At 42.5% G+C, this 25749-nt stretch overlaps 1 protein-coding gene across 3 annotated transcripts in view, besides 6 other annotated features; it reads right to left on the bottom strand.

The window, feature by feature from the left end:
• Nucleotides 1–21647, bottom strand: part of UGCG (UDP-glucose ceramide glucosyltransferase) — a 38556-nt gene extending 16909 nt beyond the window's left edge. For 2 of the 3 annotated variants that reach the window (NM_003358.3, XM_017015107.2), the window contains exons 1-2: nucleotides 21148–21647; nucleotides 3715–3856 (exon numbers count right to left, since the gene is read on the bottom strand). In NM_003358.3, coding sequence (NP_003349.1) covers nucleotides 3715–3856; nucleotides 21148–21245 — 240 coding nt within the window. In that variant the 5' untranslated portion in view covers nucleotides 21246–21647. Of the gene's footprint in view, nucleotides 1–2624; nucleotides 2703–3714; nucleotides 3857–21147 lie in introns of those variants that run through there. The other variant, XM_047423844.1, reaches the window with a different exon arrangement.
• Nucleotides 8939–8998: an enhancer, noted in NCBI's record as "active region_28800". NCBI's record gives its function as "activates an Ori minimal core promoter by ATAC-STARR-seq in GM12878 lymphoblastoid cells {active_cell/tissue: GM12878}" and the evidence as "EXISTENCE:reporter gene assay evidence [ECO:0000049][PMID:35858748]".
• Nucleotides 14603–14702: an enhancer, noted in NCBI's record as "active region_28799". NCBI's record gives its function as "activates an Ori minimal core promoter by ATAC-STARR-seq in GM12878 lymphoblastoid cells {active_cell/tissue: GM12878}" and the evidence as "EXISTENCE:reporter gene assay evidence [ECO:0000049][PMID:35858748]".
• Nucleotides 21203–21292: a silencer, noted in NCBI's record as "silent region_20185". NCBI's record gives its function as "represses an Ori minimal core promoter by ATAC-STARR-seq in GM12878 lymphoblastoid cells {active_cell/tissue: GM12878}" and the evidence as "EXISTENCE:reporter gene assay evidence [ECO:0000049][PMID:35858748]".
• Nucleotides 21403–21992: a silencer, noted in NCBI's record as "silent region_20184". NCBI's record gives its function as "represses an Ori minimal core promoter by ATAC-STARR-seq in GM12878 lymphoblastoid cells {active_cell/tissue: GM12878}" and the evidence as "EXISTENCE:reporter gene assay evidence [ECO:0000049][PMID:35858748]".
• Nucleotides 21403–22196: a biological region, named in NCBI's record as "H3K27ac hESC enhancer GRCh37_chr9:114658545-114659128".
• Nucleotides 21613–22196: an enhancer, noted in NCBI's record as "H3K27ac hESC enhancer chr9:114658545-114659128 (GRCh37/hg19 assembly coordinates)". NCBI's record gives its function as "activates a minimal SCP1, AML or CMV promoter by ChIP-STARR-seq in primed H9 embryonic stem cells {active_cell/tissue: H9 hESC(primed)}" and the evidence as "EXISTENCE:reporter gene assay evidence [ECO:0000049][PMID:30033119]".

Here is a 25749-nt window from a genome sequence, read left to right as displayed (position 1 = left end):
TATTTTCTAAAGTATCAGATTTTAACCAGGAATCATTTTTCAGCTATCAGCTCTGTGTCTTCACAATTTGATGAGATATTTTATTTGCTAAGAATCCCTGTATTAAAATTGTTAAATCAGGCCAGGCACGGTGGCTCACACCTGCAATCCCAGCACTTTAAGAGGCGGAGGCAGGGGAATCAACTGAGGTCAGGAGTTCAAGACCAGCCTGGCCAACATGATGAAATCCTCTCTCTACTAAAAATATAAAAATTAGCCAGCGGTAGTGGCATGCGCCTGTAATCCCAACTTCTCGGGAGGCTGACACGGGAGAATTGCTTGAACCCGGGAGGCGGAAGTGGCAGTGAGCCGAGATTGTGGCATTGTACTCCAGCACAGGTGACAGAGCAAGACTCTGCCTCAAAAGGAAAAAAAAAATCAATTCTATAATTGCAAAAAAGAAAAAAAAATCATAGTTATGACAGGTTCACTGTTAAGAACTCTGATAGTTGATTTAGGTATTCTTCACATGGCCAGAATTTACTGAAGTAAAGCCAGCAAGCCACTTTAGACGCAGATTATTGACTATTACTGCTACTGCTTAATCTCTCCCCAAATCCCTTCTACGCTGGTGACAAATGAGTGTTCAATGCTGTGGAAAATGAACTGCATCACCTTTTCATTCTTTTATGTCTTCCCAAGGAATGAGTATCAGTATAAAAGTAGACTTGTAAGATGAATACAGCGCAGAGATCTTTCAGAGCAACTAGTCTAGTCTCACCAAAATTGAAACCTAGAAATTCAGAGCAAGTACCAGTAGCAGTAAATTTTCTTGCACATGTCCAAAATTAAGTAAAATTTTAAAACTTGAAGATATGTTTTATTATTTTCCCCCAAATGGCCTATGATAGTCCCAATCGAATATTAGAAGAGAAAGTTATGTCCAAAATGAAAACATTTCCATACTCTGGTAAAACGATGTTCACACCAGGCAAAATGCAAATATGAAAGGGCACTGCGCCTGGCAGTCACGTAAATGTTTATTTTGGGTCTCCTTGACTTCTTGGTGACACAAATGCCTTGTCTGTTCATGCTCAGATATGCGTGATTTCAGTGGTTTAACTTTAGTCTCCTGTGGAACATTTGCCATTGTATTTGGTTTTCACCAAGTAAATAAAATGCTGTGAAATCAAATATTTCCCTTAGATTGCAGGTACTTTGCACTTCTCCTCTGCTTTCCAAACTTTCTATTTATACAGCTAAATATAAGTTTATAATTAGAAAATAAAATTCTGTACTAACAAAGAATAAAATAATCTGCAGATGCTATTCTTCATCTTACAATGAATGTCAAAATAGCTTTCTCCTCAACCCACTTAAATGATATAACTAAATGGAAAAAGAGCTACTACTCTAAGTGAAAACAAGAGCTCTTGAGATCATTCTAAACTGTAATTTCCAAAACAATTTTTTATTTCAATTTTTTAATTTTTATTTTTTTGAAGGTGGGGGTCTCACTGTGTTGCCCAGGCTGGTCTTGAACACCTGGCCTCAAGCAATCCTCCCGCCTCAGCCTCCCAAAGTGCTAGGATTACAAGCACAAGCCACCACGCCTGGCCAAAATCTTCATTCACAAGAAATCAGTTATGGGGTCATTAGAAATGCTCGTAATCAATGGATACATATAACCCTGGGGTTACTTTTTAAAATTCTTTCAGTAGGGCATGGTGGCTCATGTCTGTAATCCCAGCACTTTGGGAGGCTGAGGTGGGGGGATTGCTTGAGCCCAAGAGTTCAAGACCAGCCCCGGCAACATGGCAACACCCTCTACAAAAAATACAAAAATCAGCCAGGTGTGGTAGCACATGCCCATAGTCCCAGCTACCAGGGAGGGTGAGGTGGGAGGACTGGTTGAGCCTGGGAGGCTGAGGCTGCAGTGAGCCACGACTGTGCCACTATGCTCCAGCCTAGGTGACAAAGCAAGATACTGTCTTAAAAACAAAAACGAACACAAAAAACCATTCTTTCTACAACTAAACCCCTCACTGACTTCCTCAAGCATTTAAACCCCATGACTATCATCTCACAAGCACTACAACGTAAAAATTCCATGACCAATTTTAAGAGTGGTTGAATGGGGAAAGTGAAAGAGGATGGTTAAAAAACTGAAATGTGAGATTAAGTTTCACAATGATAATGCATATGACTCTAAGCTATGCTCTAAGATTCATTCATAATCAATAGAAAATTTCTTTCATTCGTAAACATTAATTCTCCTTTGCATTTACTTTTATGGAGCTTGAAAATCTCCCATTTTTCTTACTGCAAAGCTTATTTTACAATTAATTTTATTTATATCTTTCTCAATTACAAAAGGCTAAGTTTTACCATTTTTTAGTTTGAAAAAACAAGTATATACAATTATATCTTATTTAAAAATTATATATTTGATTGAAGTTAACACATGTATTTAATTCAAATATCTAAAATTATTAAGCATATAAACACACACAAACTAGAACATATAATTTTTTTGCTTCAAAACAGCTTCCAATACTCCAAAATTGGCTTCTAAACTCCAAAACTCCAAAGCAATAATATAAAAACACTAAAAATACAACTGAATGATACTCATGTCTACCTACTTAATAAGTGCTGCATTAAGGCTATCACATCTGTGTCTTCTCTATTCTTTTCATTGGTGCTACCGAGAAAAATAAAGGCTAAAAGAAAAGAAATAAGAGCATGAAAACCAGTCACCATAAGAAGTGTAGTGCGCATATCATCTTCCTTCTGATTATTTGAGCTACCCTGTCCAAAAAAATTAAGAGGGACGACTCTCCCAGTAGCAAAAACAGCTATGGAAAAACTGAGGCAATAGGGTAAAAATTGAGGCAAGTGAATAGAGACCGCAAAGGGAAAACTAAACTGTACTGAAAGTCAAGTGGGTAGAAGCTTAAAGACACATTCTTCTCACAAGTGATCTGTTACCACCAAAATGCCCTTTCAAAAGCAGTCTCAAGCAATTTAATACAAAGCTGCTGTAAAGCTAAGTACAAAAATCAAAGAATATTAAGTTATCCTAAGAAACTACAGGTGGACTACTAAAGCAAAGTGATAAAAAGAATACTTTCATCTCAAGAAAACTGGAAGGTCTCCAATTAAGGGAGTACACTGAGTTTACAGATATACAGATTATATAGATAAATGGTATAAGCAATACAATTAGCTATTAAAATCAGAACAGTAAGGAAATTAAAAATGAGGTAAGATGAAACCCTACAGTACCACTAACTGTAATCTATTCTTGGCTCAAAGCCAGTTTCTCCGGAGAAGTCACGTTTAGTTCTGGCTGTACTGCAACCCATTTCAGACCACTAACACTGCTTTCTCCCTCTCCTTGTCTCCTCTTCCTATTGTTCATATCCAGCTCTTATGGAAGAAAATTTTTATTTTCAAACTACCAGGCACTTGACAATGTCTGAGTTTCAGAAGGTTTACTCAGGGATCTCTACTTCACACGGACATATAGGTGGTTAGAAAGGGAATTTACACCCCTTCCTCAACCTATTTCTGTTCTGTGATGACTACTACTAAAGGTTATATTTTATGAGGCCAATATCATCATGAATTTTTAATACCTTCACCTTATACAGTGTTAAAATCCCTAAATGTTTATCATGAGGGGAACAAAACAAAACAAAACAAAACAAAAAACCGTAACACTGAACTTACTTTGGGATAATCCAATTCAAAGAATGTTTCCAGGTTGTTGATTAAGTTAGGATCTACCCCTTTCAGTGGTTTCAGAAGAGAGACACCTGGGAGCTTGCTATAAGGCTGTTTGTCAGTTGCCTTCTTGTTGAGGTGTAATCGGCTAAAAAGCAAATGATATAAAAATTATTTCTATAGAATACATTAGTGTCAAATCAAAGCACTGACAAGCTATCAATAAATCCCTAAATTCTAAGTTAAGATTTTTAAAACTTGACATCTTTCTAAAAGAGGATCTAAACATGAAGGGAAGTAGAACCAGGTAAGCATGGCTTTGAATGCGGTCCAACACAAATTCATAAACTTTCTTAAAACATTATGAGATTTTTTGCGATTTTTTAAAGCTCATCAGCTATTGTTAGTGTATTTTATATGTGACCCAAGACAATTCTTCTTCTTCCAATACGACCAAGGGAAGCCAAAAGATTGAATACCCATGATGTACTACTCTCTGACTATTGCTATACTCACAGAACTATGCCAGGCATAGCGCAGGCATTTCAATAAAATACATGGTGAAGAAATGAATGGCAGTGTTAGCCCAAAGATTAACTCCTCTTCCTCTTAAATTGCCACTGAAGTGGCCACAGAACTATAAAAACAGGTAAAATAAAACACCGTCTGCAGCAGAAAATTATGAAAGGATAACCAGAACTTTCTGAGAAATTTCTTTGCAGTGGGATAATACACAGTTAAAAGAAGTGTCAAGCAGTCTGCATGGCAAGCAAGATAATGGGACAACTGGAACTCCCAATATTAATAAGGTCAGAATGGCAGGGGTAGAACAGAAGGAAACTGAAAGTAAGAAAAAAACTCAATGATGAGAAAAATGTCTATTAATGACACTGGAAGATATACCAGTGCCACCAGTTCATAGATAAGTGACCAAATGGCCAACGTTCTCACTGCTTGTCCATTGCAAGGATGCTGCAGCACAGCAGGGCTCCTAATGAAAGAAGCAATGCCACACAGGTGTGGTGGCTCACACCTGTGTAATCCCAGCACTTTGGGAGGCTGAGGCGGGTGGATCACTTGAGGTCAGGAGTTCGAGACCAGCCTGGCCAACACACTGAAACTCCATCTCTACTAAAAAAAAAAAAAAAAAAAATTAGCTGGGCGTGGTGGTGGGTGCCTATAATCCCAGCTACTCGGGAGGCTGAGGCAGAAGAATCACTTGAACCCGGGGGTGGAGGTTGCAGTGAGCCAAGATTGTGCCGCTGCACTCCAGCCTGGGTGACAGAGTGAGACTCCGTCTCAAAAAAAAGAAAGAAGCAATGCTAGAGAAGACAGAACGTGCCCCAGTTAACATCAGGCTGTTGCAACAAGATGCCATTCAATACAGTGGTGAAGTTTCTAAAGGAAGCCACTGAAGCCTTCCTCCTACTTCTAGTAAATATGTGACAAGTACTTCTCATAAACAAGTCTCCAAGCATTCGACAGTAATTAGGCACTAGAACATCATGGGTCCATCTGCAAGATATTCTAAGACACATGTTCTTCCACATTTTAACATCTCTGACATCAATGGTACCTTACAATTGCTGCCAGGCAGATGGCAGCTCTGACTTACTGTGAAAATCAACCAATGAGAACTTCTAGATGATCAAAAAATACTTGCATCAATGCATCTTGATTTGATAAAATCCACTATTAAACTGGGAAAGACTTCTGGAGGGACACCGGTACCACCACCCAGACCACTTAGCCATGGGCTTGGTCTCTAACTAAGGCAGGTGTGTGCTGTAGCAAACATCTAACGTTTTAGATAAGGCCATACAGTTTTACACACACGTGCACACACGCACACACACACACACACCAGGTTTACAATGGAAAAACTTTAAAACCAACAAGAAATTTAAAGAACAGGGTGGTATCAATTTCTGATACACCAAGTACCAGAAAATACTGGAGCACCATCTATCGCAGTGCTACTCAAAGTGTGGTCTGGTCCAGCATTGCTTTTTACTGGTTTGCAAGTGAGAAACAATTGAGTGAAACCTTTTAGAAACTTGTATAGCAATTTAACATTGCCATGACATCAAGCATGTGATCAGCAATTTATTTTTATTGTAGTTTACCAAAGTATTGGCTCATGGCAGATTGGAATTTTTTTTTTTTTATTTTTTTAAGACAGAGTTTTGCTCTGCGACCCAGGCTGGAGTGCAGTGGTGCGATCTCAGCTACTGCAACCTTCGCCTCCCGGGTTCAAATGATTCCCCTGCCTCAGCCTCCCAAGTAGCTGGGATTACAGGCATGCACCACCATGCCCAGCTAACTTTTTGTATTTTTAGTAGACACAGGGTTTCACCATGTTGGCCAGGCTGGTCTCGAACTCTTCATCTTAAGTGATCTGCCCGCCTCGGCTTCCCAAAGTGCTGGGATTACAGGTGTGAACCACTACAGCCAGCCAGATTGGATAATTTTAAAGAACAACTGCTTTGCCATAGATAGTTTGGAAAATATTGCTCTACAGAGTTCATCTGGAGGACCAGACAGGTAAAACCACGATCTAAAACGCATATAACCACAAAAGTAATCACTATTCTATTTCTAACAAAATAGCAGACTAGATGCCTGAAACCCACCAGGTAAAGAACATCTAGACTGCTGGGGAAAAAAGTTTATATTACACAATTAATTGATTCAACAGGATATATATATATATATATATATATCCTGTTGAATATATATATGTATCCTGTTGAATATATATATGTATCCTGTTGAATATATATATATCCTGTTGAATATATATATATATATATATATATATATATATATATATATATATATATATATCCTGTTGAATATACACATATGAGATAGGGTCTTGCTCCGTTGCTCAGGCTGGCATGCAGTGGTGTAATTATCTGCATCTCCCAGGCTCAAGCGATCCTGCCACCTTAGCCTCCCCAGTAGCTAGGATAACAGGTACACTCCACCACACCAGGCTAATTTTTTTATTTTTTTATGGAGATGGGGTCTCACTATATTGCCCAGGCTGGTCTTGAACTCCTAGGCTCAAAGAATCCTCCTGCCTTGGCTTCTCAAAGTGCTGGGATTACAGGCATGAGCCACCACGTTCAGCCCCTGAACTGGTAATATACTGATATGGTTCAAATCACTAAAAATATTAAGAGGGTCTGATAAAAGAAATCTGTCACCACTGGCCCCCCATCTGCCTGTTTCCATTACTGCTTCCCCAGCATTACTAGTTTCTTGTCCTTCCAGAGGTTTTAAAAATGCATATACAAGTCAAAATATATACACACATTTATGGTATATATGAATTATATATGTACATATTCATAAACTTGTCTCTCTTCCTTTTTAATACAAGTGTAGTAAAAGCATGTTTTAAAATACATAATTGAACCGTTAGGACAATAAAGAAGAGTCTCTAAGGTCAGAAATGAGAAAAAAACCTCTTCAGTGACTGAGTGCTAGAGTCCATGCTTGCCTCCTGACCATCTACTGGTGACCTGGAGATGGAGAGAAGCCTGAGATAAGAATGACAGGACAACTGTTCTGAGAGCCTTGGGTAAATCTGGACTCCCTGAAAGGCAAGCAGAAAAATCCTGGTCCATAGAGGGAAGATGCGGATGCTCTCTATCTTGGATTCAGTCCTCAGTGAAATAGAATAAAAGAAAAAAGTCTTGGCCAGGCACAGTGGCTCATGCCTGCAATCCCAGCACTTTCAAAGGTGGAGGCAGGTGGATCACTTGAGGTCAGGAGTTTGAGACCAGCCTGGTCAACATGGTGAAACTCCGTCTCTACTAAAAAATACAAAATATGGCCAGGCATGGTGGTGTGCACCTGTGGTCCCAGCTACTTGGAAGGCTGAGGCATGAGAATCCCTTGAACCTGGGAGGCAGAGGCTGCAATGAGCAGAGATCGCGCCACTGCACTTCAGCGTGGGCAACAGAGAGAGACTCCATCTCACACAAAAACAAAAACAAAAAAGAAAAAAGTCTTCTTGGAGAACACCTCACCACGTGGGTTTGGGCCAAGAATGCAACCTCCCTGTGTACCTGAACAAAACCCAAGAGAAGAGAAGGAAATGAGGGAAATCATTATATATGACCACAAATAATATGAAAAGAACCACACAAGTTCTAGGAATGACAGTTACAATCACTGACATCAGAAACTCAAAAGACAAGTAATACAGAATCTTACGTACTCACAATTTACGAAAGAATTGGCATCTAGATTAGAAGAAGCTATCCAGAATGCAGCCCAGAGAGAGGGACAGGTAAAGACACAGAAATCATGAAAAAGTTTGAGATGTGGATGACAGAATAAGAAGGTCTAAAATCCCAGTGATTTTTATCTGTTGGTCCCACTGTGTGATCCTTAAGTGCTATTAAACTACCAAAACATGCAGGTCAAGTGCTGGCTAAGTAGCAGAGAGAACTGGCCCACTAATAATCTCAGTGCCTGTGGCAAGGCTTTAGATCAAAAACAGTAGCAACGAAGATCATCTAAGCTGTACTGAATAGTCTAGAGGCGATTACATTTTGGTAAAGTTTAGAGTAGATCCTACTTCTCCCTTCTCCCAAGATGTTTTACTTTAAATATCATTAGATACACCTCCTCCTTTGAAGAACTTTTCATGTTGAGAATGCAGTATTTTATCATAGATTCATTCTGACTCTCTCAACAGCCACAAAGCCCTCTCTAGGTTTATGGATAAAGAGAATTGTTAAGTACTATATCTGAAATTTCTACTCAAAATAAGCCAGACTATATCACAGGGCCTTTAAAAAATGTATTTGTGCCTCCCCTCTGTCCCTGTCTCTCTCTAATATTTTCTTTCCAAAACCCAACAGGTCAGTTTGTTGTGTACCCCCTAGGGTACGAGATCCTACCTTGCAGAATACTGTTTTGACTTACATAACGCAACCAACAAAGCCATGTGGTACAAATTACTTGAAATGTTTGTCAAAACAATAGAAGAATATCCATTAAGTCACCAAATAAACAAAACACCTCTAGCACTAGGCTCAGCACACAGTGGTACTCCATGACTGCTTTGCAGTCACTTACTGGACAACATCTTTACAGCCCCGAATGTACACTAGTCATTATCATATGCACTGGAATGCAACAAGCAACAGGTGAATTCCCTACTGTGAAGGAGCTGTGGCTTAATGGGGAAGTTGGGTTGCACATGCCCAGAAGCTCTTCTCCTTACAAAACTCTTAAAGATGTCAACAAAGCTTTGCTCTGGAGAATCGTTCCACAGGTGGAAACAATGCCTTTGGCCATGACCAGTGTGTTGGAAACCAATCTACAGATTTCTACACAGAAATCATGAAAGAGTTTGAGATGTGGATGACAGAATAAAAAGCTCTAAAATCCCAGTGATTTTTTTCAAAAAAATTTTTTTAAATCCCAGTGATTTTTTTTCAAAAACATTTTTTAAATCCCAGTGGTTTTTTTCAAAATAAAGAAGAGTTTCCAAGGTCAGAAGTAGCCTTGTGGGCTGGTGCAGTGGCTCATGCTTATAATTCTAGCACTTTGGGAAGATGAGGCAGGCGGATCACTTGAGGTCAGGAGTTCAAGACCAGCCTGGCCAACATGGCAAAACCCCCATCTCTACTAAAAATAGAAAAATTAGCTGGGCGTGGTGGCACACGCCTATAATTCCAGCTACTCGGGAAGCTGAGACACAAGAATGACTTGAACCTGGGAGGCAGAGGTTGCAGTGAGCCGAGATCGCACCACTGCACTCCAGCCTGGGTGACAGAGAGGGAGAGAGGGAGGGAGGGCACTGTGATCAATTGCCTAGTGTTTCAAAAGTGGCCTCCACGGTGGAGCCCTTAAAGTGGGGCAGTATTATAAGTGGCTCGGACAGGGTCTTACAAGTTTTACTGGTTTCTAACTAGTTTTTCTTTTAGTGTCTCAGATCAGGGTTTCTGCATTTCCTAGACAGTATGAACTTGAGCCTATGATTCCTACACGTTGCACAAGCTTTCTCATGGGTGTCCATTTCTACCCTCAGCCTAGGGCAGACGACTTGCTTTCTAGGTTCTATACTGGGAATCCAGTTCTTACCTTCCTATAATGCATCTGGCTTGCAGCCTTGACCTTTTTGTTGGGGAAGTGGTGTGGGGGGTACTTTTTATTGATACATAATGTACATATTATAAAGTCACCTGTAAGTACACAGCTCAAAGAATTTTCTCAAAGTGAAACTCTCATGTAACCAGTACCCAGATCAAAAAACAGTATTAGCAGAACCCCAGAAGTCCTCTCGTGTCTCCTTCCACGTACTATGCTCCCCTCAAGGGTACTCACTGTCCTGACTTCAGACTAGTTTTGCTGGCTTTAAATTTTTATATAAATGGAATCCCATAGGATGTATCTTTCCTGTCTGGCCTCTTTGGGTTGCGTTATGTTTGTGAGAATCATCCGCGTTGTTACATTTAGCTATCATGTATTCACTCTTGTTACAGGATAGTTTTACTAATATACCACACTTTATTTACTTTCTGTTGATGGATGTTTGGGTTGTTTACAGTTTGAGGTTATTATAACTAGTGTGCAGCACTGACTCTGTCCTCGCACTAGTACTAAAAGCCCTACTCTTCCCACCACCCACCCCCCAAGCCTTCAACTTTTGGACAAGATGAAGAAACGCTAACTGGATTTACTCTCTCCCACCTGAAACAACCAAAAAATCAGAAAAAAATACAGGAGACAACAGTTTTGAAGATACTGGACATCAAGCAAAGGAAGACAGTGATTCCTATGACACAGAAAATAAGGTAGGCTGGGTGCGGTGGCTCACGCCTGTAATCCCAGCACTTTGGGAGGCCAAGGCGGGAGGATAATTTGAGGTCAGGAGTTCGAGACCAGCCTGGCCAACATGGTGAAACCCTATCTCTTCTAAAAATACAAAAAATAATTAGCCAGGTGTGGCCTCACGTGCCTGTAATCCCAGCTACTCGGGAGGCTGAGGCAGGAGAATCACTTGAATCCGGGAGGCGGAGGTTGCAGTGAGCCAAGATCGCACCACTGCACTCCAGCCTGGGCAACAGAGCAAGATTCCATCTCAAAAAAAAAAAAAAGAAAGAAAATGAATTGAAGAGCTGGAGTCAACAGTCCAGAAAAACAAAAACATCCAGCACCCAACACGGTGAAATTCAAAATGTCTGGTATCTATTAAAAAATTTCCAAGCATGCAAAGAATCAGGAAAATATACCAATGAGAAGAAATATCAATAAATTAAAACCCCACCGGGATTCAAATTAGCAGACCAGACCAACCCACTGCTTTGCATTCCCTCTTGGTTTCTGGAATATGCAGATTTTCTTTTCACATTTTCAGGCTCTGGGTGTGTAAGTGTCTAATCGTTACAGCATTTCCATGTGTTAATAGGAGAGGTGGTTCTCACATGTGCACACGCCACCTCTCATTCAGAAGTAGAGTCTGTACGGGACTCTGCAAATGCAGTGTGATACAGGCTATCATCAAAGTATGTTTGGAACACTTTGAGAGAAGAGAGATGGAAGCATCCAACTACTCCTAGGAGGCGGTCTTTCCAGACTTTCATACTCCAAGTGTGGCCCATGGACCAGCAGCATTGGCAACACCTGGGAGCTTTTCAGAGCTTCAAAATTTCAGGCCTCATCCCCCAAAACTACTGAAACTCAATCTTCAGTTTAACAAGATCTCTAGGTGATTCACAGGCACACTCAAGCTTGAGCAGCACTGCTTTAAGACTCATCTCTGCTATAAATTCTTCGTGACTTCACAGACAAGGCTGAAAAGGCCTGGAGCTCATCCTCTAGGCAAGAAATAACCATGAAAGACTAAAAGGAAGCAACCAGGATCATTTTTGTATTTATAGAAGTTAAGAGAATAAAGTACAGGCAGGGGAGATGGAAGGCAAGGGAAAAATATTGCAAAGGTCCAAAAGAAAGAGACAAGCACACAAACCAGAAAGGCATAAGAAACAAGTGAAAGGCTGGGTGCAGTGGCTCATGCCTGTAATCCCAGCCAATTTGGGAGGCTGAGGCAGGTGGATCACCTGAGGTTGGGAGTTCAAGACCAGCCTGGCCAACATGGTGAAACCCCGTCTCTACTAAAAATACAAAAATTAGCCAGGCATGGTGGCGCACACCTGTAATCCCAGCTAGTCGGGAGGCTGAGGCAGGAGAATCACTTGAACCCAGGAGGCAGAGGTTGTGGTGAGCCGAGTCCGTACCACTGAACTCCAGCTTGGGCGACACAGCGAGACTGTCTCAAAACAAAACAAAACAAAACAAAACACACACACAAAAGAAACAAGCGAAGGAAGCAAAGTCAAGAGAAGGTGAGAACTCAGAATCAAGGAGTTTAGCCAATAACTGATGATGGTATTGCTGGAGGGGGAATGAGGGATAATGAGGGGTATACCTGGGTCAGGCTATGGTAACTAGTGGTGCCATTCATAAAATCTGGGCACAATGAGAGATGGGAAAGAGTAATGAACTTTTGAACATACGAACTTTAATTTACTCTCAAGACATCAAGTGGTGACATCTCATCTAGGAGACCAGAGGTTTGCAACTTGTAGTATAAATAATGCCCACAGGTAGAGATCACAAGTGAATAAACCAGATGAAGAGACTAGGAATCTGCATTTTTCACAAGCATACCAAATGATGCAGGCTGGCAGTAAACTACAACTGGAGAAACACTACAGTAGAATATAAATTCTCCAGAGCCCAGCAAAGCAATAATACACAGTATGTTCTCAATTTTTAAAAATAATTTTGAATAAATGAAGAGTAAATAAATAAACAGATACAGAGAGCTCAGCAGGTAAGGTTAGCCTAGAGATAAAAATACAGAAGCCATCCACCGTAAGGTAAATACACAAGCTCTCTGAGGCACAGCATTCTTAGAAGATGGCCAAGAAGGAATATATTATTATTGAATCAGTAATGCATGAAGGAGAGGCCGGGCTCAGTGGCTCATGCCTGTAATCCCAGCACTTTGGGAGGCTGAGGCGGGTGGATCACCTGAGGTCAGGAGTTCGAGACCAGCCCAACCAATATGGTGAAACCCCGTCTCTACTAAAAATACAAAAATTAGCCGGGCACGGTGGTGCGCCTGTAATCCCAGCAACTTGGGAGGCTGAGGCAGAAGAACTGCTTGAACCTGGGAAGCAGAGGTTGCAGTGAGCCAAGATTGTGCCACTGCACTCCAGCCTGGATGACAAGATCGAAACTCCCTCTCAAAAAAAAAAAAAGAGTAATGCATGAAGGAGACTAAAAGTGGGGATCAAAGAAGCAGAAAGACAGCCAGGATGCAAGTAAAGTGACAGAAGGGTTTATCTGGCCAGGCTGTTTTCTTTCTCAAAGGGTTCAAGAAAGAATAACACTGAATGCTGCTGGAGAGACCAAGGTAAGAATGGTAATGTCCAGTAGATTACATATGTACTTGCTGCTATCTCTGAGCACTTTTGGCAAGAATTGGGGCAGTTCATGGAGGATAAGGGTAGACAGCTAAAAATCGGTTAAAAAGTAAATGAATGGGAGTTGAAATGTGATAACAGTAAACAAACACTAGTTTCTACTGAAACCTGACAGTGAGTGAAAGGGCCAAAGGGTGGAACAGACGGCTTCTAGTTTAATTTTTCTAGTTTTTTTTGAGATACAATCTTGCTCTGTCACCCAGGTTGGAGTGCAGTGGCAATCATAGCTCACTGCATACCACTGCCTCTGGCTAATTTTTTAAAATTTTTCTGTGGCGATGGGGTCTTGCTATATTGCTCAGGCTGGTTTTGAACTCCTGGCCTCAGGCGATCCTCCCCGCCTTGGCTCTCTAGTTGAATTTTTTTTCCTCCAAGACAAAGTTTTGCTCTTGTTGCCCAGGCTGGAGAGCAATGGCACAACCTTGGCTCACTGTAACCTCCACCTCCCGAGTTCAAGTGATTCTCCTGCCTCAGCCTCCGGAGTAGCTGGGATTACAGGCGAGCACCACCACACCCGGCTAATTTTTTGTATTTTTAGTAGAGATGGTGTTTCCCCATGTTGGCCAGGCTGGTCTCAAACTCCTGACCTCAGGTGATCCACCTGCCTCGGCCTCCCAAAGTGCTGGGATTACAGGTGTGAGCCACCAAGCCCAGCCTCTAGTTCAATTTTTTAAAGACTACTTGAAATTCTTTAAAAATTCAAGAAGAGCTAGCCGAAGGGCAAAGAGAGAAAAAGAAAAAACTAATTTAAGGCATGATGGGATCCACAGTATGAAGTAGGAGCTAAGGTCATCTACCAAGAATGCGGTAGAATGAAGATTTAGAAGAGGTTTTTTTAAGTGATGGATGTCAGAGCTAAACACAGAAAAAAAAGCACTGCCAGGCAGCACCGCAATGCAGGTTTAGCTGAGCCCTGAGACTACCAATGTGTAGTAGTATTAGTCCACATGGCTGTGTGATTACCCTCTGTAGGATTTTCAAAGTTGAGCAGCTATAATTATTGGATGGATTCAAGATAACAGGGCAGACTGATACGAGGTGAGGCAAGAGGCAAGATAATGAAGTGATGAACTGTGGGCTCTAGGCTAAATGGAGAATTAAATGAAGCCAAGAGGTGGCAGGTGCTGGACACAACTGTGGGCAGACAGCCTGGGGCAATCATTCTCAGCCTAGGCTGCACATCCATGTCACCTATGGAGTTTTGAAAATACTGATGCCTGAACCAATTTAACCATGTCTGTAGGGGTGAGACCCAGGCAGCAGTTGTTTCTTTTTTTTAAGCCCTTGATGTGACTCCATAGTGCAGTCAAACTTGACAACCACAGGTCTAGAAAGACTGGGTGACTGAAGAATGGAAAGGCCTATAATCCCAGCACCTGTGGAGGCCGAGGCAGGCAGATTGTTTGAGCTCAGGAGTTCGAGACCAGCCTAGCCAACACGGCGGAACCCCGTCTCTACAAAAAACACAAAAATCAGCCAGGCGTGGTGGCATGTGCCTGTAGTCCCAGCTACCCAGGAGGCTGAGGTAGGAGGACTGCTTGAGCCTGGGAGGTCAAGGCTGTGGTGAGCCATGATCGCACTACTGCACTCCAGCCTGGGTAACAGAGCGAGACCCTATCTCAAAAAGAAAAGAAAAAAAGCCAAGGTGGGAACATTTTTCTTTTTTTTCTGAGGCAGAGTCTTGCTCTGTCACCCACACTGGAGTGCAGTGGCACAATCTTGGCTCACTGCAAGCCCCACCTCCTGGGTTCAAGCGATTCTCCTGTCTCTGCCTCCCAAGTAGCTGGGATTACAGGCGCCTGCCACCACACCCAGCTAATTTTTGTATTTTTAGTAGAGATGGGGTTTTGCCACGTTGGTCAGGCTGGTCTTGAACTCCTGACCTCAGGTGATCTGCCTGCCTCGGCCTCCCAAAGTGCTGGGATTACAGGCGTGAGCCACCACGCCCTGTCTGTCTCATTTTTAAATAACTTCTTTTACAGTTCTGTTTTCAAATTTGGCTTTTGCAAGAGGGAAGCCTGGGATGCAGGGAAACCCACTGGAGACAGGTAAAGGTTAAACAAGGAGGGTGGGCTCCTTCCCCTTCAGATGGCGGGAAGCAGCCTCTGCAGCAACCTTAATACAGCTCCTCACAAGTGAGGCACAAGAATTTCACTCGGCTGGGTACAGTGGCTCATGCCTGTAATCCCAGCACTTTGCTGGGCTGAGATGGGGGAATCACTTGAGGCCAGGAGTTCAAGACCAGACTGGCCAACATCATGAAACCCCACCTCTACTGAAAGTACAAAAATTAGCGGGGTGTGGTGGCACGTGCTTGTAGTCTCAGCTGCTTGGGAGGCTGAGGCACAAGAATCACTCAAACCCAGAAGGCGGAGGTTGCAGTAAGCCGAGATCGCACCACTGCCATCCAGCCTGGGCAACAGAATGAGACTCTGTCTCAAAAAAAAAAAAAGAGAGAATTTCACTCTAGGTTTCTAAGGAAGAATATGAATTCCACAAGGGCAAAAGTTCACCTTGCTTAACAACCCCAGAATGTGTTGTTTTTATAATTCCGCTGTGTGGTTCTGCTGAACCAATTTATCTGACTCTAGGAATTTATCTTCCCTGCTCCAAGTCACAAAGCTTGTTAGTATTTCGTGTAAAATTAGGTTCACTGCTATATCAGCAAGTCCCTAACTTCACATAGTCCATGCCAGCAATTTCCAGTGACTAATGACCTTTGTTATTGTTATCACTCATGACTATATTACTGTTTGTTTATAATCAGTATATCATGACCAATTTACTACCTGTATCACTTATTTCAAAAATGGTATTGCTTCAAAATGGGCTTCATAAGCAATATAAAGCACACCTTCTTGTGCAAGCTTAACCTTGCTAACACAAATTCTCTCACAGAAGGTAAAATAACCAATAGTGAGTTAGCTCTATAGGAAAACACAAACTCTGCCCACTGGACAATGGGCTTACTACACTATAGAATGTAGAAGATTCCACCACCATAGAAAACAAATAGGAGATGGCTGGGTGCCATAAGGGGCACCTAACCCAATAAGGAACTAAAGTCTAAAATGACTTGAACGAGTAGGAGTTAATTAAGCAAGATTTTTGGAAGGAAAGAAGGAAGAGAAAGAAAAAAGAAAGAAAGTAAAGACAATTCCAAAGAAAGCACATTGTACATTTGGGGAAATGCCAGTAATACAACGTTGCTGGTTCAGCTCCTACAGAGCTGTGCTTGTCTCATTAAGGAGTTTGAACTGTAACCCGGAGGCAATGAGGATTCATGGTAAGATTTTAAGCTACTGTGATCCAAGATTAGTAATCCAGAAGGATAAAGGCTACAATAAGAAATATAAAATCGAGGGGGCACAAGGCTGCAGCTAGAGATACCAGCGAGTAGACATAGCTTCAACATCTAGGATAGATATGAAGGTGTGCTGAACTAACTAATGTCAGAGAGAAAGGCAGGGATAATGAATCAATAGAACCATCACTGAATACTAAAATCTTGCAATTTCCACTTTGCTCTTTTTCTTTTCTTCAACTTTTAAGTTCAGGGGTACATGTGCAGGATGTGCAGGTTTGTTACGTAGGTAAACATGTGCCATGGTGGTTTGCTGCCCAGGTCATCCCATCACCGAGGTATTAAGCCCAGTATCTATTAACTATTCTTCTTGATGCTCTCCCTCCCCACACTGCCCCTCACTTTGTTCTTTAAAGCTATCACACTATAGTCTAATTCCGTATCTTCCCAGGCTCAGGTTAAAGGGGCTGAATTGCTGGACTGCCTTATTCATTTCCCTGAAAGTAGCCCTGTAGCAATGATCCTGACTGATGAACGTTTGACCACAGTCCAAGGGCATTGGCAGGACTAAACCCAAAAAAGACGTTCTCAATTTACATTCCACTAAGGCTTGGAACACCAAGTATTCATGAATTTAAGGCAAAGATCGTACTAACTAAAAATAATATCCCAAATGCTAAAATTTACATGAAAAACATAACCAGTTTTTGACGGGTAGTTTATCGCAGTTATCCTGACACAATGAGTATGCAAATTCCATTCAAAAACTGTGCATCAGGTATTGAAGTTGCTGTACATTAGAGATAGCATATTTGGGTTGGGCGCAGTGGCTCACGCCCGTAATCCCAGAACTTCAGGAGGCCAAGGTGGGGGGATCACTTGAGCCCAGGAGTTTGAGACCAGCCTGGGTGACAAAAATTAGCTGGGCGTGATGGCATGCACCGGTAGTCCCAGCTACTTGGGAGGCTGAGGTGGGAGAATTGCTCGAGCCTGGGATGTGAAGCCGTGATCGAGCCACTGCATTCCAGCCTGGGCAACAGAGAGGACTGTCTCAAAAAAATAACAATAAACAAAATAAAGGAAATACGTTTGTAGAAAGCAGAATTAACTTTAAAAAAAACTTAAAAAATCTCCAGGGGGCCAGGCATGATGGCTCACACCTGTAATCCCAGCACTTTGGGAGCCAAGACAGGTAGATCACTTAAGTCCAGGAGTTCAAGACCAGCCTGGGAAACATGGCAGAACCCTGTCTCTACAAAAAGCACAAAAATTAGCCAGGCATGCCTGTAGTCCCAGCTACTTGGGAGCTACTTAGGAAGCTGAAGCAGGAGAATCATTTCAGCCTGGGATGCGGTGGTTGCAGTCAGCCAAGATCGTGCCATTGCACTCCAGCCTAAGCAACAGAGCAAGACCCTGTATCAAAGAAAGAATACACACACACACACACACACACATATACATATACACCTCCAGGTAAAAAAGGACCTCTGTTTTACTTGAGGGTAGCTAATATTTAAGGACACATAAATTATTTCCACACTAGCCTAGCACCTCCAGTCGAAAGATAAAGCCTGATGATAAACATTAGGACCTTATGTACACAGGGAAATAATAATAATATGAGGTGGATGGGATAGGGAAGAGAGCATGAAGCAAGGTTTCTGCTTAGATCACTTCATCACGCAGCAACGTGGCTCCCAAGGGCTAGAAGAGAAACACTACCATCAGGTCTAGGCTTTTATACAATTTCACCTTAGGCCCCAACCTATCAAGCCACACTAGCACTTACCATTAAAAAAAAAAAAAAAAATTAACCCATAAAGGCTATTTAACTTGCCAAGGCTATACTCTTTAGTTATTTTTAGGAAATCTTCAATCTCAACAATAAGACTCTTGAATTTGAAATGTCTCTAATCTGAATGTTACCTTTGACATTGTTGGCAGAAATCCTACAAACATCTGCCATCTAAAATAGGTTAAGAAAGGGCAATAGAAGCTTTGAAACATACCCAAGTATAAAGCAGAATTTAGTTTATAATAAAAATATTTCAAAACAGTGGAATAATCAAATAATCATCTGATAAGTAATTCTGGACAAGTCTCTAAATATTTAGAAGAAACTATAATTAGGGCTCTAGCTCTCATATAACGAAGTAAAATACTGGGTGAATTCAGGGTAATATGTGAAAAAATTAAGAAAAAAATACTAAGAGGAAGCAGAGACTAACATATATAATAATTTGGAGGAATAAGGAAGATATAAAAATTATAACAGAGTTAGAAAATGTAAAAGAAACGGAAAGACCTATCTACCTAAAACACACATGCACACACACTTTTCTCCATGTCAAATATATGTACAAAGTTAAAAGACAAAAAACAGACTGGGGAAAAGAATGCTACATGTGACAGAAAACAACCTTTATATCAGAAAGATGAATTCAGCAACAGATTGCAGCACAGGCAAAGGATTATGAGTATGTAATTTACATCTAAATGTAACTAGCATATAAACATATTTTAAAAGTGCTCAATGTAACTTTAAAGGAATGAAAATAGAAACAGAAAACAGTGAAATGCCTGCTACTTAGTGTTTGTAAGGCAAAATGGGGCCATCATACAATGTTACCAGGACTGTGAATATACATAACATTTCCATGGGGCCAATATGTATCAAAGTTTAAAATGTGCACCACTTCTGGCCCAATAATTCCTCTTTCGGAAATATAAATGAGATCATTTCTCAAAGATGTATGCATATAAATTCATCACAGTGTTCTTTGTAATCTAGATAAATTGGAAACAACCTAAACATCCATCAGTAATAATAAATAAATCTTGGTACCTGGTAAACTAAAATATCATGCATCTATTACAAATGATGTAGAGATCATACAGATATTGACATGCAAAAAACGGTCAAGACATTTTACAGGACAGTTCCATGTGAACAGGGGCCTTGTATGTTTGTTCTTCACTCTTCCAGCAACTAGAACAGTGCCTTGCACAAAACGGCTTTTCAATAAACATTTATTAAACAGATGAACTTTAAAGCAGGTTACAGAACAATAATCATAATATAGTCCTTTTCTCTCTTCCCTCTTCCCCTCCCTCCTTCTCTCTCTCTCACACACACACACAGATTGGAAGGATAGTCACAAAAGGTTAACAAGGTAATGTAGTTTTGGTGTGTGCATATTTTAATTTTCTCCATCTCTCTCTATTGCATAAATTCCTTACACAGTAAGCATTTTTTATTTTTATGACGGTAAAAAGTAACAATTTTTTTAAAGAAAAAGAACTCACATATTTTAAATGAACTCCAGAATGTGCTGTGACTAAGCTCACCAACTCCAAAAACTAAAGTCAACAATATCCAAGTGGCATGTTTTCTTTCACTTTCAAAGAAATATCAGTATAACCTGTACCAGCATCATCTTTCTCAGTACCAGGAAATGCCACACTATACTAATAAAATACAGTGTTTCCAAAAGCAAAGGCACACTTTTTCCGCAGTAAAAAGGAAAAAAAAAAAACCAAAAAACTAAAAGTAACTAATTTCTTAAAGTCTCTTCCACTAACATACACTCTATTCTAGTTCATGGTAACGATTACTATATACAATTGCTCTTTTCTCCCCCCAGACTAAAAATCCAAGTGAATCGATATCAGTAATGTGCTCTATATAATTTTTTCATTTCTTTACAGAGGCAGATTTCACCTTAAACAGTGGATATACCAAACTAGCCACATAACCCATGTCTCTATTCACGCCATCACCCAGTTCTATTTTACTTACACGCTTCGTCACAATCTCATAACCTTATTTAGATTTTATCTGCTCCTTCCTTCTAGAATGTAAGACTCATGAGGACAGGAATTCTGTCCTGCTCACCACCATGTCCCCTGGCCAATAACAGTGAATGGTATCTAGTAGGCCTCAAGAAGTATTTGTTAAACAAAAATGAAAAGATGTGGCCGGCACGGGGAGAGTACAAATCTACATAAAACAATAAAACGAGGAACTGAAAAAAGGAAAGAAAACCACGCTGAGATGTACAAGCTGACAGGACTCAAAGCTATCATGCCAGCTCGGAGGTTTGGTGGACATTTTTCAGGGTGGACAGGTGCTTCACACCTATCTAAGCGCATAGAGCCCTTCCAGGAAGAAGAAAATCCACAGAGAGGTGTCCAGATAGCTGTGAGCAGCTCCCAGAAAAGTGGACACAATCACCACCCTAACAGAAACGTGGCCCAGGTCGGGAGAAAAAAACAATACACCATACATCTCGGCCCAGATGAAAAATTACACGAATCCCCAGCACAATCAAACCAAGCCACCACCTTCAGCCTGACACGTAAGAGCAGTCTCCTTTAGCCTGGCTGGGCAGTCGCCTGCAACCCAGCAAACCCTTCCCACGCCCAACACTTTTCCCTCGCAAAGACCACCGCCACCGCCGGTCCGAGGGGCGAGGGAACGGGGGGAACAGCCTGACGATCAGCTTTCTCCACCCCCGCCCGAGCCCAGTCCCCTTCAAAGCGCAAACGTTTCCCATTCTCGCCTGTCTCCGAGGCCCGGACCCCTGCCCCGAGCCCCTCCTGCGGTCCCTCACTCACGTGTAGATGATAGCCATGAAATGCATCAGCCACAGCACCAAGAAGAGGACGAACCCGAAGACGGCCATTCCCTCCAAGGCCAGGTCCAGCAGCGCCATCCCCCGGCCCGCCGGACCGGCCCGGCCCGCTGCGGCCGCCAACACGGACAACGCTCCCGCAGGAGGAGGACAGGGTGGGCGCCCGGTGCGGGGGCGCGGGAGGCGAGAGGAAGGTGGGGAGAGGAAAGGGCGGAGGGGGGTGGGGACGGAAGGGGCGGGCAGGGCCTGCGCGCCCCCGCCCGCGCGCTCTCGCCTGCGCGCTGTCTTCGGCGCGCTCGCGGGCGGCTGCGGGTGCTGCGGTCTCCCGGCTCTGGTCGGGGCGACCGCGGTCCCGCGCTCCGGTTCGCCTCTCCCGAGCCTCGCGGCCGCCCACCAGACCCTGCGCGCGGGCACCTCCGCCGCCTCTCCGTCTCGCCGCCGGGCTCCCGGCCGAGCAGCTCCACCGCCGCAGCTCCGCGCACTAATCAAAACCGGCGGCTCGCGCCCCACTCCTCGGCGCGTCCCGCCCCCGGAACCGCGGCGCCCGCCTCTCCCAGGGGCGGTGCCCCCATCGGTCCACGCCCACCCTGTCGCCCGCGCGCCCGCTGCGGCGCCGGCGAGAGCGCGCCGGGGAGATCGTGTCCTGCTGCCCGCAGGACGCAGGCCGGGCTTCCTCCGGCTCCTCGCTCCCGCTGCCGCCCACCTAGGCGGAAAGCGCTGCAGCCCTGGGCCGGGCTCCCTCGGTGTCGGTGGCAGCTCGGGACCCTGTGCCTGGCTGGAGGCTGCTCTCTCTCCGTCTGGCCCTGCTGTTCCTGGGTGCCCCAGAAAAAGACACGGGTTCCGGGCAGCTGCCGGAGCTTGTCTAGAAATCCAACTTCCAACGCCGCGTCTGCAGCCTCCCCGCCGGGCACTGCTACTGCTCGGAGCAGCCAGGCCCTCCAGGCCACGTTCCTGGGCGCAAGGGATGCCCATTGCCTTCCCTCTTACTGCTTTTAATGCTGTGGGATCTTGGATCAAAAGGGACCGGAGAGTAAAATAATCTCCATGCGCCTCACAGATCTCTAAGCGCCTTAGCGACCGTGTGTATTATAAAAAGAAATTCTCAAATTCAGAATTAAAGAATCAGTTGATATTGAAATTCCCTAAGACTGCCATCCAATACGGTAGCCGCATGTGGCTAAGTGAGGGTTGGAAAGGCAGCTTGCCACTCTGTGGAGTAAACAGTACACCAGATGTGGAAGACCATCTCGTTAGTAAATTTTATATTGATTGCATGTTGAAAAGGTAATATTTTGGACATACTACATTAAATTAGGTAAATTATTAAGTTAATTTCTCTTTTTAAATACTTTGGCTAGCTACTAGAAAATTTTAATTGTACGTGTGGACAGCACAGCTCTAAAATGGGAAGAAATGTCACTTTGGGTAGTAAGGTAACTAAGTATTTGTCCTAATTTTAAGTCATCCCAAGAAGATGCTAGTACTCAATGTTTGTGTTTCTTCAATCTAGATGAGTTTATACTATTTCTGCATTGTTTTATGTTTATTGTTGCAAGTGATTTCCTTTTAAATAATCCATGACCTCCCTTGAGATATTTCAGAATTGAATTCAATTTTGAAAAGAAGTTGTGGCTGGGCGCGGTGGCTCACACCTGTAGTCCCAGCACTTTGGGAGGCGGAGGCAGGTGGAGCATGAGGTCAGGAGTTCAAGACCGGCCTGGCCTAGATGGTGAAACCCCGTCTCTACTAAAAATACAAAGAATTAGCCGGGCGTGGTGGCAGGCGCCTGTAATCCCAGCTACTCCGGAGGCTGAGGCAGAGAATTGCTTAAACCTGGAGGGGCGGAGGTTGCAGTGAGCCGAGATCGCGCCACTGCACTCCAGCCTGGGCGACAGAGCGAGACTCTGTCTCGAAAAAAAATAGATGAATTTAAAAAAAAGAAAAGAAGTTGTTTATTATTGCTGTTTATGGTAGTTAATAGTCACTGAATGATCTACCTCAATCTGCAATTAAATGACAAACTACAACTAGAAGAGTTAATGTCCGAACCATTCCTCGATTAACATCCTTGGCTCCACTGGTGCAGAATCAGTGGGAAAGAACAATGCTTCAAAATCAAATTCCCACTGTTGAGAGTTACTGGCTGATAAAAATAGCAGGATGGAGGGCCAGGCGCAGTGGCTCATGCCTGTAATCCCAGCAGTTTGGGAGACTCAGGTAGGAGGATTGCTTGAGGCCAGGAGTTTGAGACCAGCCTGGGCAACATGATGAAACCCTGTCTCTACAAAAAAAAAAAAAAAAAAAAATTAGCCAGGCATGGTTATGGCACCTATAGTCCCAGCTACCGGGAAGGCTGAGGTGGTAGGATCACCTGATCCTGGGAAGTGGCGGCTGCAGTGAGCTGTGATCGCGCCACTTAACTCCAGCCTGGGTGACAGTGAGTCCCTGTCTTAAAAAAAAGTGGAATAGAATTCTAACATCGAAATAACGTTCCAAACAAAAATTTACGATTGTAGTTAATTCTAAGGCACACTTCAAAAAAACACTTTAACAAATTTTAATTTCTCTGAAATGGGAATGCATCTCACAGTCAATGCCATCTTAGAGTTAATTGGCGTTTTTTCTTTTTTTTTTTTTTTTTTTTGAGGTGGAGTCTCGCTCTGTCGCCAAGGCTGGAGTGCAGTGGCGTGATCTAGGCTCACAGGAACCTCCGCCTCCTGAGTTCAAGCAATTCTCCTGTCTCACCCTCCCCAGTAGCTGGGACTACATTTGCACACCACCACACCCGGCTAATTTTTGTGTTTTTAGTAGAGACGGGGTTTCACCATATTGTTCAGGCTAGTCTCGAACTCCTGACCTCGTGATCCACCTGCCTCGGCCTCCCAAAGTGCTGGGATTACAGGCGTGAGTCACCGTGCCCAGCCAATGGCTTGTGGTTTTCTTTTACTCAAATATAAAATAATAGTGCATCTTAGTGATATATAAAATAATGCTGCATCTTATCATTAAATGCCCTCTTAGATTTGAGGAACACCAATTGCTTAATTTAAGCATTGTTTTATATTCTGCATTTTTTCAAAAATGTTTTCTGGAACCTTACAACAAAGGATTTTATACAGTATGACCAATAACACAAAAAAAGAGGCCAAAGAAATGTGAAAGTAGATATTCTTAAGAGTTAACAAATTTGCTAAATTGAGTATAATCAGTAGATTAAAGATCAGTTATATTATACTTGACCCTAGTTAAACTATGTTTACCCAAACTTCGTTTTAAAACAGCTTTAGAAAAGGGAAGAGTATGAAGACAGTATAAAGATCTGTGGTTGCCATGGAGCAGAGGAAAGAGGGACAAATAGATGACAGGATTTTTAGGGCTGTGAGTGAAACTATTCTGTATGATCCTATAATAGTGTATACATGTCATATATTTGGCAAACCCCGTAGAAAATACACCACCAAGAGTGAACCCTAATGTAAGCTATGGACTTTAGGTGATAATGGTGTGTTAATGTAGGTCCATCAGTTGTAACGAATATGGTGCTCTGGTGCAAGATGTTAATAGTGGAGGAGGCTGGTGGAGGGAATGGCAGTGGGTATATGGGAACCTTCTGTACTTTCTGCTCAGTTTTGCTGTGAACCTAAAACTACTCTAAAAAGTAAATTCTTAAAAAAAATTAGTGAGTGTTCCACTAAAGGTGTTCTACTTATATATGTATACAAATATGTGTATAACATTGGAAATGCTATAAATGTCTGAATAAGATATACCAGTTTGCGGCTGGGCGCGGTGGCTCAGGCCTGTAATTGCAGCACTGTGGGAGGCCAAGGTGGGAGGATCTCAAGCCAGCCTGGGCAACATGGCGAAACCCTGTTTCTACAAAAAATAGAAAAATTAGCTGGGCGTGGTGGCAGGCAACGTGGTAAAACCCTGTTTCTACAAAAAATACAAAATCTAGCCAGGCATGGTGGTGGGTACCTGTAATTCCAGCTACTTGGGAGGCTGAGGCAGGAGAATCACTTGAACCTGGTAGGCAGAGGTTGCAGTGAGCCAAGATCATGCCACTGCACTCCAGCTTGGGTGCCAGAGCGAGACTCTGACTTAAAAAAAAAAAAATTACCAGTTTGCCATCAGATCCCAGGATTTAGCACCTTGTGGGCACTTAAATATTTGTTGACTGAATGAATAGATAAAATGTTTATTTATCCATTGACAGAAGTCACTGGAAAAATTTCAGTGACTTCTGAAATTTTCTGGAAAAACTTTCTGGAAAAATTTCTCAGCTTTCTCCTTTGTCTGTAAAGATTTTTAAATGGTTTTTCGTTGTGAGAAAAATACACATTAACTTCCATACCTCCTCCTTTATCTTATAAAATTAAGCTAAAGAGTTAGAGTAATTACATATTAGTTCAACTAATCATGTCCTGAAGACCTGCTCCAAAGCCCATACTCTACTTGACAGTCAACAACATAATTTTCGTCTCAATATCACATATTTTCCATCTTTGTCATTGTTATAAATAATTTTTCATGTAAACATTTTAAACATCACAATCCAGTTTTCTATGGTGAGTGTATTATTATT

Source organism: Homo sapiens, chromosome 9, assembly GCF_000001405.40.
Source record: "Homo sapiens chromosome 9, GRCh38.p14 Primary Assembly".
Classification (NCBI taxonomy): Eukaryota; Metazoa; Chordata; class Mammalia; order Primates; family Hominidae; genus Homo; species Homo sapiens.
Note: the sequence above shows the minus strand (reverse complement) of the source record. Positions and strands in the feature narration are given on the sequence as shown.